Raw genomic sequence first — 12,987 nt, 5'->3', positions numbered from 1 at the left:
ACACGAGTAAAGCTATCACAGATGCTTCATCTTCAGCTGAGTTCTCAGCTGAATGAAGCCCAGCTGACACCAAAAACATGTCATAAAAGAATTGCCCAGCTGACCCCAGCCAACCCACACAATTATAAGGCAGAATATAATCATAATCACTGACATGATCATGTTGTGTTAAGCCACTAAGAGTTGGAGTAGCTTGTTTCACAGCAATAGACAGTTAAAACACTTTACCATACTATTTTCGCTTATGTTGTTTCAGTTAGGCTTCCTTCTGTCATTTACAAGAGTTCTCATTAGATTATAATATAATATAGATTATAAAGGAAATACATAGTCTGTTTTGTAGCTGTGATAACAGAATATCACAAACTTGAAAATTTATAAAGAACAGAAATTTATTATCTCACAGTTGTGGGGTCTGGGAAGTCCAAGATCAAGGCACCAGCATCTGGTGTGAGGCTCCTTACTGCATTCTTACATGAGGGAAGGTGGAAGGGCATGAAAGGATGAATGCTGTGCCCTTATATGGCAGAAGAGTGAAAGAGTGTAAACCCACTTCTACAAGCCAAGCCCCCGACCTTTTTTTTAGAGATGAGGTCTCCTTACGTCACCCAGGCTGGCCTTAAACTCCTGGGCTTAAGCAGTCCTCCTGCTTCAGCCTCCCAAGTAGCTGGGACTACAGGTGCATGTCACTGCATCCAGCTTCACAATCCCTTTTTATAGCAGCATTATCCATTCATGAGCACAGAGCCCTCATAACCTAAACAGCCTCCCATTAGGCCCACCTCCCAATACTGTTGCTCTGAGGATTAAGTTTCAACATAAATCTTTAGAGGAGATAAAAACACTCAAACCATGGCAACCATCCTTTTCACTAAAGTTAATCAATTCAAGTACCCTCATTTTCACATCTAAATTAGAAAGTCACATAACTGGGAAGGAGTTGTAGAAAGACATACAAGAACTGATGAAAAATATAGACTATTTCTGACAACTGTCTTATGAAGAGAAGTTACTACAGTCACAAAACTCTTTACATAGTCTAATACGTATGGTAGAAAAATTCATTATACCCAAAATGAAAATACCTACATTTGAAGCCAAGTTTCCTAACAATGTGACCTTGGGCCTCAGTTTCCTCTGAGGTGTTCAATGATGATACAACAGTAGCTCTTAATTTTGAAGGGACACTAAAATTGGGAGAGTTTAAGATACCACTGATGCACAGGCTCCACACACCAAATGAATCAGAATCTCAGAAACAAGGTCTAGTTGGGCATAAGTGATTTTTGTCCCTTCTCTCCACTGATTCTCCTACTTTTCCCTAAGAGAATGTAATTCTTTCCAAGTAGATTGATCCAAATGTAGGCCTGGCCAAACTGTTGTTAGTTTTTTGTAGCTGGCAACCTCCTGCCATTAGAATAGATAGGTGAACCTAGCCTCTTGTTTTCTCTCTCACCTGCTCTGCACTACAGCTATCCCTTTAGGACTAGCTGTTCTAAAGGTTCAGTGTTCAGACTCAAACTGGGCAGGGATGGAGGGTGGGGTTTGGAAAGGCTCTGCTGGGATTTTCAGTCTAAGTCATATTCTCTGGCTCAGCTTTACCAGAGAGCCCTGCATAAAGGATCATGAAAATTTAAGCCTTATTTTTCCTGTGCTAGAAGAGGTAAATCTTCCTCACAAGGAAGGGAAGGAAAAGCAACTGGCCAAATAGAACTTGGGCATTCCTCGGACCTGGTTGTAATACTCCCTTGATGTCATCAAAACCTCACAAATAGCTTGAATATCTTGGATCTGCTCCTCTCTATAATCTATCAATTAAGATGTTTCTCAAAGTTTTTCTTGTGATTATCAAACCTTATGGGTTGGGATAAACAGAGGAAAACACGTATACTACAGATTTTCTTCTGAACACAATAATTTCTCTTGAAAAAAGGCAACGTCAATTGACATGTTCAGAGTTCAGAGAATAGAGTACATAAGGGCTCAAAGTTTATACAAAACAAATTTTGTTTTAATAAGTTTTATGGAAAATATATGTGAGCCAGAAAACATTTTGTTTTCATTTATTAAGCTTGCCTCCATAAGTAAAGCAAAGGAACTGAGTGTATAGCGACCAGGCCCCACTTCTGTAGCTGGAAGACAGGCTCCAGTGAGAAGCTGGTTCCTCTCTCTGGGAGAGAGGGTAGGAGTGAGGAGAATATATTCGAAGACTAACCTCTAAGGTAGATGTTGGCATTTCAATCATTTCGGTGCACAGTCTTCCATGACCAATCCTCTTCCTTTGGTTTTACCTGAGACTAAGACAGGGATCCACAGAGCTCAGCCATGGGACTACAAGGATCATGAAAACTGTCATCATAAGCTACCTCTCGCTAGAGAGGAAGCATGCCTGAACTTTCTGTCCTGGGGCCATCTCTATCTTTCTCTCTCTTTTTAAGTACTTCCAATAAATAGTCCTCATTTTCTTTAAGTACCCAGTGTTACAGAATGCGTATTTCAGCCAAACCATCCTAGTGAGTTAGCAAAAATTGAAAGAGGAAAGAAGGTCTAGAAATACTGTCAGCCCAGAAGTGATCCTACAATAGGCTCTTAAGAATTATCCCATCAATTTGTTTTTCTCATCACACTTAGCAAGAAAATGGTGGTTAAATGCAATCTGAGAACAACCAATGGAATAAGAGAAGTCAGGTTTTCAGAATGGAGGTGCCAAATTATGACCAGAGTCAAGTGGTCCTCCCTTTTTTTTCCAGTCTGAAAATTTTTTTTTAACTTCTTGCCTTTTAATAATATCTTTGAATATAGATGGTTTCAATTCTCCAATAACAAGATGTAGAGTGGCCAAATGGTTTTTCATACATGTTTCCCTAGTCCAGACACCCAAGAGTATGTCCCTCTCTTGGGCATAAGAAAACCTAGAGTTATATTTAGGGCATCATGTGTGTGGTGAATAGTTGACCAAGCTGGCATGCTCACAACAACCAAATTATGTTTATCATATTTTAATCCAATACATTGATCTACTATGAACTTGTAAATAATGTATTTGCTTTCTAGACACATTCCAGGAAGACCAGAGAAACTGACTTTTATCCATATGGAATAATCCACTGGCAAATTTCTTTTAGGACAGACCAAAGCTGATCTAGAACATAATCTTTACATACTTGGATCCTTCCCATCAGACGAGAAAGAACATCTGGGGTGAAAGGCTCCATTAGAAGAGCAATGTGGGATGGTGCTGTGCTGACAACTGGTAGTTCCTGCCCTACATCTTTGTAGAGGACTGGAGCCCAGAGCATGCCATGGTCAACTTGTATGTTGAAGTGAAGACCTCCTTCGAGGTGTGCATGTGCTTATTACAGATATGCCATGGTGCTAAGTACCCCAGGACTACAGGAAAAAATAAGAATAGATGCTGTATCCATGATCATGAGGCACACAGGCCAGAGCGCCAGCTGTGGAATCGCACAGCCCGGGTTCAAAGCCTGGCTGGGCCATGACCACCTGAATGACCTGAGGAATGGTCTCAGGCAAATTTGTAAAAAGTGGAGACCCTGCCTGCCAGGGAGGCATGTGGTAAGAGGTGCATCCAGTCAGGTCAGGGCACCGCGTCCTCTCTTTGGAAACCTGCGGAGCGAGGCTGGTGGCCCTTGAGGCCACAGCAGCCATGGAGAAGGCGGGCCTGGCTCCAGGCGGCACAGAGGCACTGGAGAGGCCCCGGGGGAGCCTGGCGGGATCTGGCTGGTCCTGCGCTCTGCTTCCAGGTTCTGGCCCTGTAACCCGGGGGACGGGGCCGGCCAAGACAGGGCCACTGGGTGCCAGCCAGCACCTGGGCCAGGCGCCAGGCAGAAGGGCTCTGGCGGATCAGCCCCACACCCCCAACAGCCCCACGGGGGGCCCATCCAGGGCCACACACCTGCCCCCAGGAGCAGGACGTCCCTGAGGCTAGAGTCCAGCTGGACCGGTGGAAGGGTCTCACCCTTTGCCCTCTGACTCCTCTTGCAGGCACCCTCGCTGGGCTCCTAAGCACTCCTCCACACCCTGGCTCTGTCACCAGCCCCATGGTGATGTCATAAACTCCCAGATGCCCAGTGTGCACCCAGCCACAGAGAAGTGGGTGACTTAGGAGTATCCTCTCCGCTTCTGACCCTTAGTTTCGTCTGTGCACAACTCGCTCAAAATGGACAACTCACTAAGCGTATTTTGTTCCTGGTTCCGCCGCAGGTCCTGGCCATGCCATCGGCAACCTGCTCGTCTTGTCCGTGAGGCCTTCCCAGCTGGCCGGGCTCACCCCGCGGCTCCTGCACCTGTGCCTGCCCCAGGACTCTTTGGCTGTTTCCCACTCCTCTTCAACCGTCAGCGACATCTTGGGCCTTCTTTTCCAGGCAGGTGGGACGGCACCCTTATGAGGCTGTGTCTTATCCCTTGGAACACGGGCACCCCACAGAGGGTCCTGCCTCCTGTTGTCTGGAGCCCCCCCTCAAGGAAGAAACCCGTGCTGTCTGCTCGCAACTCCAGGATGTTTGGATACCTCAGCCCCGTGAGGATCCCTCGTCTCAGAGGCAAGTTTAACCTTCAACTTCCTTCATTAGATGAGCAGGTGATCCCAGCCAGGCTCCCGAAAATGGAGGTGAGGGCAGAAGAGCCCAAAGAAGCAACGGAGGTGAAAGACCAGGTACAGACCCAGGAGCAGGAGGACAATAAAAGGGGCCCCTGTAGCAATGGGGAAGCAGCCTCCACCTCTAGGCCCCTGGAGACTCAGGGAAACCTCACTTCCTCCTGGTACAATCCCAGGCCCTTGGAGGGAAATGTCCACCTCAAGAGCTTGACAGAAAACAACCAGACTGACAAGGCCCAGGTGCATGCAGTGAGTTTCTACTCCAAGGGCCATGGAGTCGCCAGTTCACACAGCCCTGCTGGAGGCATCCTTCCCTTTGGGAAGCCTGACCCACTTCCAACAGTGCTCCCTGCCCCAGTTCCGGGCTGCTCCCTGTGGCCAGAGAAGGCGGCCTTGAAGGTGCTGGGTAAAGACCACCTGCCCAGCTCTCCAGGCTTGCTGACGGTGGGGGAGGACATGCAGCCCAAGGATCCTGCAGCTCTTGGATCAAGTAGGTCTTCTCCACCCAGAGCTGCCGGCCACAGGTCCCGCAAAAGAAAACTGTCGGGGCCACCACTGCAGCTGCAACCAACCCCTCCCCTGCAACTGAGGTGGGAGAGAGATGAGAGGCCCCCACCGGCTAAGCTTCCATGTCTATCTCCTGAGGCACTGTTGGTGGGTCAGGCTTCCCAAAGAGAAGGACGCCTCCAGCAGGGCAACATGCGTAAGAACATGAGGGTGTTAAGTAGAACATCAAAATTCAGGAGACTAAGACAGCTGCTTAGGAGGAGAAAGAAGAGACAGCAGGGCAGGCATGGTGGCCCACGCCTGTAATCCAGCACTTTGGGAGGCCCAGGTGGGCGGATCAGGAGGTCAAGAGATTGAGACCTGAGGAGCATCTCTGCCTGCACCATCTGGGAAGTGAGGAGCACCTCTGCCCGGCTGCTCCACCGTCTGGGAAGTGAGGAGCGCCTCTGCTTGGCCACCGCACTGTCTGGGCAGTGAGGAGCGCCTCTGCCTAGCCCCCGCCCTCTCTGGGAAGTGACGAGCGCCTCTGCCCAGCCGCCTCACAGTCTGAGAAGTGAAGGGCGCCTCTGCCCGGGCCCTGCCCCGTCTGGGCAGTGAGGAGTGCCTCTGAAAGGCCGCCACCCTGTCTGGGAAGTGAGAAGCGCCTCTGCCCGGCTACTCCACCGTCTGGGAAGTGAGGAGCGCCTCTGCCTGGCCACCGCACCATCTGGGCAGTGAGGAGCGCCTCTGCCCGGCCCCCGCCCTCTCTGGGAAGTGACGAGCACCTCTGCCCGGCTGCCTCACAGTCTGGGAAGTGAGGAGCGCCTCTGCCCGGGCCCTGCCCTGTCTGGGCAGTGAGAAGTGCCTCTGCCAGGCCGCCGCCCTGTCTGGGAAGTGAGGAGCGCCTCTGCCCGGCTGCCATCCTGTCTGCGAATCGAGGACTGCCTCTGCCCGGCCCCCTTACACTCTGGGAAGTGAGGAGCGCTTCTGCCTGGCCACTGCCCTGTCTGGGAAGTGAGGAGCGCCTCTGCCCAGCTGCCCACCATCTGGGAATTGAGGAGGAGCACCGCCTCTGCCCGGCCTCCACCCCATCTGGGAAGTGACGAGCACCTCTGCCCGGCCGCCTCACAGTATGGAAAGTGAGGAGCACCTTTGCCCAGCCACCATCCTGTCTGCGAAGTGAGGAGTGCCTCTGCCCCGCCTCCTCACCGTCTGGGAAATGAGGAGCGCCTCTGCCTGGCCACCATCCCATCTGGGAAGTGAGGAGTGCCTCTGCCCCGCCTCCTCACCGTCTGGGAAATGAGAAGCGCCTCTGCCTGGCCACCGTCCCATCTGGGAAGTGAGGAGCGCTTCTGCCCAGCCACTGCCCTGTCTGGAAAGTGAGGAGCACCTCTGCCCGGCCCCCTCACTGTTTGTAAGGGAGGAGCGCCTCTGCCCAGCCCCTGCACCGTCTGGGAAGTGAGGAGCGCCTCTACCCGGCCCCCTCACCATCTGGGAAGTGAGGAGCGTCTCTGCCCAGCTACTGCGCAACCTTCCAAGTGTGAAGTGACAGCCTTGTGTGTGATCTTTCTGCCTTCCCCAAGTTTGCATTTTCGACATTAAAGTTTACTTTTTAATTAAAAAAAAGGAGATCGAGATCGTTCCGGCCAACATGGTGAAACTCCGTCTCTACTGAAAACACAAAAATTAGGCGGGCATGGTAGCTTGTGCCTGTAGTCCCAGCTACTCGGGAGGCTGAGGCAGGAAAATGGCTTGAACCCAGGAGGTGGAGGTTGCAGTGAGCCGAGATCGCACCACTGCGCTCCAGCCTGGTGACACAGCAAGACTCCGTCCTGAAACGATGTTGTAGTTGAGAGCAGGATGGTCTTTTGGGACAGGAGGAACAAGAGGTTCTGGTTGCCACTCTTCAATCAGTTCTTCTTTTTCCTTGACTGTAAGATCAGATTGTTCTTGTAATTTGTAAGTCTTAGAGAAAAGAAGTCTGATTATCCAGAGTATCAGAATCCCTTCCAAAATAAGATGGTAAGCATGAGCCTCATAAAGCACCTGTACCATCTCCACCAGAACCCACTGCTCCGTGGCGGTCGCCATAGTTAGCCACTTCCTAAAATTTCTAACTTTTCAACAAATACTATATTAAAGATTAGTTTCAGTAAGTCTGAAAAAATTGGGCTAGTTTTGTCTTCATAAACTCAACAATAAAAGGCAGTTTTGATTTCTCTTTATATAGCATATGATTAATTTCTATCTAAAACACCTAACAAAAAAACAATCAAATAATGAATTTTTTAAAATCACCTTGGATGAAATGGTAGACTCTTCCTGATCAGTATTTTTGCACTCTTCTCCTGTGTCTTGTTCTGCTGATGTATTTTCTGAACTTCCTGATGAAATTAATTGCCTTCTTCCTTGCTGGGTTGTGTTTAGCTGGGATTTATCTTTGCAGATTTCTTCTTTTCCACTTCCCTGGATTACATTACCTTAAACACATAAAGAAAAAGAAGAAAATTATCTTCTGTATCTTCAAATGTCAATAATCCATATCAAAAAAAGAAAAAAGAAAAAGGATTCGAGACCAGCCTGGCCAACATGGTGAAACCCGGTCTCTACTGAAAATACAAAAGATAGGCAGGTGTGGTGGTGTGCACCTGCAGTCCCAGCTACTTAGGAAGCAGAGGCATAAGAATCACTTGAACCCAGGAGGTGGAGGTTGCAGTGAGCCGAGATCACACCACTGCACTCCAGTCTGGGTGACAGAGCGAGCCTCTGTGTTAAAAAAAAAAAAAAAAAAAAAAAAAGAAAGAAAGAAAATAAAAAGGATAAAAGGGCAAGTAAGATTAAAGGTCCATTTATAGTAATGCTAACTTGGAAACACTTATGTGCAAATCTCAGTAAGCATTAAGCAGCAAAATGGCCAAGAGCTCCAGCCGTGCATTCTACCAGGCTGAGATGCCAATGGAGGCTCCATCCCTTAACTATTTCATCGCACCTTTCTGAACTTTGGTTTCATCATCTGGATAATGGGAATTATAATTCATGGAATTATTAGGAAAAGTAAATGAAGTAAGATATGTAAACTATCTAGCAGAGTACCTGATACATGTTATTTTTTTAATTGTAGAATTGAATTTCTCTAACAGAAAATCTGACTTATAGCTATCCAATGAACTTTACATATACTACTTATTAAACCCTAACATCCACAGTGAGGAATTAAACTTAAGCTAATTTTTTTTTTTTTTAATGAGACAGAGTCTTGCTCTGTCACCCAGGCTGGAGTGCAGTGGCACAATCTCTGCTCACTGCAACCTTTGCCTCCCTGGTTCAAGCAGTTCTCCTGCCTCAGCCTCCCAAGTAGCTGAGATTACAGGTGTGCACTGTTCCATGCCTGGTTAAATTTTGTATTTTTAGTAGAGACAGAGTTTCACCATGTTGGCAAGGCTGGTCTCGAACTCCTCACCTCAGGTGATCCGCCTGTCTCAGCCTCCCAAAGTGCTGGGATTACAGGCAAACCCAAAATAACCCAAACAGGAGAGTGACTTCTACAGACTTTGCTGATAAAGTAAATAAATCTCAATAACAATGGACATTGTATCCCATAAAATACCCAAAGTTTAATGCAGTTGGCAAACCTAAGACACTATCATATTTTGTTAACAAATTCATAATTGTCCATGGCAAATTGTCCTTCTCCTCTACTCGAGAGTGATGTCTTCATGAAGGCAGAAACTTTACATGCCTTGTTCATTGTTCCTCCCTTGTCTCCAGTACCTTCAACTGTGCCTAGCACAAAACTGATGCTCAATAAATATTTCTGACTAAATGAAGTTTGAACATAAACAATTTGTCCAAAGATTCCCTTAAGAGCCAGGATATAGGTATATAAAGCAATCTGTAGTCATTATTCCATGTTCTAAAGCAGGGATTAGCAAACTTTTTCTGTAAAAAGCCAGAGAGTAAACAGATTAAACTCTGTGGGCCATACAGTGTCTGTCACTACTACTCAACTCTGCCTTTGTAACATGAAAGCAGTCACAGACAATGCATATATGGCTGACCATGGCCATGTTCCAATAAAACTTTCTTTACAAAACCAGGCAGTGGGCCTAATTTGGCCCATGGGCTGTAGTTTGCTTAGTCCAGTTCTAAAGGACATTCAAGTAGCCTGAAATAACATTCCCTCATTAAGTTCAGGAAAGAAATGCCAATGGAATACTGTCCATATTATCAAACTTAGGCATAAACTATTCTAATAACTAAATTTTAACTAAATTATTTAAATATTCATCATGAATCTAAATTAGAAAATAGTTCATATCATTTTTGGAAACTGTCATAAACAGGACTTAATAGGACTGAGTAGCTTGGTACAACAAATGACCAAATGCTGTAACAGTTATGAATTAAACCAAGTGACATACTGAACTAGTGGTATTGCTGATTATGCTAAGAACTACAGTAAATTAAACAAGACACAGCTTCTACACAAATGGTAGTTTATATATTCCAAGTGATACACATGTACTCAAAATTCTAAAATTAAAAAATATATATATTTAAAATACTCAAGTTTTTCAAAACTCCAAATTCCTTACTATCAACCACCTCTAGGGACTAGAGCTAATTTTTTTTTTCTGCATGAGAAGCCATTTTGATATTATTAAAATGCTCTTCACAAAGAGTATATAAAAAATGAATAGCTTAAAATGGCTGACAACAGTCTTTATATCTGGTATGGCAAATATTCTTCTGAAATCCAAAATAGGTTTGACCATTTTTATTTAAAGTTAAATGATAGAAATATAAAAGAAATTAACTATTAATACAAAACAGCTTGATTTTAACTATTACCAATGGCACTTATATGAGCTGTTATACTAATACTACATGAACAATAGCTCAATTATATATATATATGTATCATTAAAAATACATCCATCCAATCTTACCTTCTAGAGGAACTACTCCCAAACAGCTATATTAACTATTGCATGCGTATATTTCTCAATTTTTCCTATGTTTAAGCAAATATATCTACAAATACATATGCATAAACATATACAGGACTAAAAGTACAAATATTATTTCTGTGGTTTAAATACCTAGGATTGCAATTTCTGGATCAAAGTGTATTGTATATTTAAAAATTTAAAAGACACTACAAGTGACTTTGAAAGGCTATACTAATTTATACCTCCACAAGCAATGTTCGATAATACTCCTTTCTGCCAACAGTGGATATTATCAATTGCTTAAATGTTGATAAGTTAATGAACAAAAAATGGTAACTAGTTATTTTCAATTTACCTGATAGTAAAGTCGTAATATTTACTATGCGTATTTATTATTCTGTAGTATGTCACACATAATGCCCAAAATTTCTACTGAGTTTTATCTTTTTTGTTACTAAGTAGACAATTTTTTAAAAACCTTCTTTTATAAGTGTGGTAGATAATATATCTCAGTATATTGTTTGGCAGGCTATTATTTGCCTCTGACTTTATTTACAGTGTCTTTTGCATAGAAGTATTTTTCCTTTTTATTTAGGTAAATCTACCAGTTTTTCCCTTAGGATTCCAGGTTCCCTATCATCTTAAGAAAGTGTACAGGCATAATCAAAATATTTTTCCCATACTTTCTTCAAATGCCTTGTTTTAATTTTTATATTAAGACTTAATTCAATAGAAATTTGTTTCTGAATATGGCATAAAGTAGTACTTTAACATTATTTTCTTCAAAATGGAAAGCCAATTTTCTCAACATCATTTATTGAATAATATATCCTTTCTCCATCAGTTTGAACTGATATGTGTTTATAAATTAAACGTATTTTTCTTATCTGTTTCTGGGTGTTTCATTCTTCTTTTTTTTCCTGGCCTAACTTACCTATTCCTCTGCCAGAATTATCAACTACTAAAAGCAGGCATCAGGCCCAGATCAGGAGAGTTCCATGAAGAAACATAATTTTTCAATTATTCAAATTGTGCCTGACCGTATATGGAAATAATTCAGTGCTCTAACATTAAAATCTCACATAGAAGGCATACATAAAGAAAAATACGGACTAACCATAATATAGATAAGAGATGTCCTAAACCAAATATTAGCAAATTTAATCTAACAGAGTATAAAAATAAAAAGGTATCATAAGATTGAACTTATTCCAGGAACACAAGCATAGTATATTACATTAGGATATCTACCAATATCATTACTTACATTAACACATGAAAATGCAAAACTATTTCTATACCAAAACATTTTTAAATAATTCAAGTTATTCCTGAAAAAATAGTAAAAATAAAATGAACCATACTAAACATGATATGACTATTTATCAGAATCTAATATCAACCTTAAAATACTAAAATATTAAGAGAATTTCTATTAAAATCAGGAATAAGAACAGACCAATTTTAACCATTTTTATTTAAAGTTTATAGGGTTCAGCTAAAAAGACAAGAAAAGAAAGCAGTAGATAGGTCAGAAGAGCCAAAATTATCCTAATTCTATAGATAACATGATTCTACAGCTAGAAAATATAAGGTTCAAAAACTACTAAAATTAAATAACTTGGCAAAGTTGCTGGAAACAAAGTAAACAGAATAACTAGCACTTTACATAAATGTAAGTACATTTTGAACTGTAGTCCAATTACAATAATGTATAAATGCTCAATATTTATAATCTGCATCAAATTGCCATGGTGAAAATATTCACAGTACAAAATTAAATGCAAGCCAAACAGTATGGGGACTAGTTCAATCTTCATCAGCATGTGCCACTTTTTACAACTTCACGTTGGTAGCTTAGAAGATGCAGGAAGAAGAGCTCTATAGAATAGCATGATACCAGTGGAAATATAAAAGCTCCTTTTTCAATCTACCAGGAGTATCCTAACCTAAGAGTTATGATTAGTCTTGTGGCCTGGAAGGCTGAAAGAACAGAGATAACTGGAGATCAAGAAAGAGGAGACTCTGAAAGCCTTTGCCTAAATATATTTACTTCTCCATCACTAATGGACATTTAAAAAAATTTAGCCCAGGCCTAAGAAACTCATGACAACATCCAAGAACTAGTACCTGAGACATAAAAAATAAAATAAATTAGAACTATATTGACTGTCCACTTTCAACACTTCTATTCATCATAGCACTGGAATTCCTAGCCAGAGTAATCAGACAAGAGAAAAAATAAAGGGCATCCAAATCAGTAAAGAGTCAATGAGTCAAACTGTCACTGAGTCAAACTGTCACCATTTGCCAACGATATAATCATATACCTAGAAAACCCAAGAGATGCATCCAAACAACTCCTAGAACTGATAAATGAACTCAGCAAAGTTTCAGGACACAAAACCAGAGTACACAAATCTGTAGTACTGCTATACACCAACAGTTACCAAGCTGAGAATCAAATCAAGAACTCAACCCTTTACAATAGCTGCAAAAAAACAAACAAACAAAACAAAAACAAAAAACAAAACAGGAATATACCTAACCAAGGAGGTAAAAGACCTCTACAAGGAAAAGTACAAAACACTGCTGAAAGAAATCATAGATGACACAAACAAATGGGAACATATCACATGCTTATGGATCGGTAGAATCAACATTGTGAAAATGAACATACTGCCAAAAGTAATCTACAAATTCAATGAAATTCTCATCAAAATACCACCATCATTCTTCACAGGACTAGAAAAAACAATCCCAAAATTCATATGAAACCAAAAGACAGCCCAAAACAAGTCTAGCCAAAGCAATACTAAGCAAAAGAAACAAATCCGGAGGCATCACATTACCCGACTTCAAACTGTACTACAAGGCTACGGCCAGCAAAATAGCATGGTACTGGTATAAAAACAGGCACATAGACCAACA

The 12,987-nt window shown here is 42.7% G+C and overlaps 1 protein-coding gene and 1 pseudogene across 1 annotated transcript in view; one reads left to right on the top strand and one right to left on the bottom strand.

Annotated features, from left to right (window-relative positions):
• APLF (aprataxin and PNKP like factor) overlaps positions 1 to 12,987 on the bottom strand; it is a 112,578-nt gene that overhangs the window by 46,518 nt on the left and 53,073 nt on the right. Inside the window, exon 6 of the mRNA NM_173545.3 lies at positions 7,403 to 7,584. Within this exon, the coding sequence (NP_775816.1) occupies positions 7,403 to 7,584 (182 nt within the window). The remainder of the gene's footprint in view (positions 1 to 7,402; positions 7,585 to 12,987) is intronic.
• LOC100420887 (putative UPF0607 protein ENSP00000383783 pseudogene) lies at positions 4,106 to 5,631 on the top strand (annotated as a pseudogene).

This window comes from Homo sapiens, chromosome 2 (genome assembly GCF_000001405.40).
Source record: "Homo sapiens chromosome 2, GRCh38.p14 Primary Assembly".
Lineage (NCBI taxonomy): Eukaryota > Metazoa > Chordata > Mammalia > Primates > Hominidae > Homo > Homo sapiens.
This window is presented reverse-complemented; position numbering and strand designations above follow the sequence as displayed.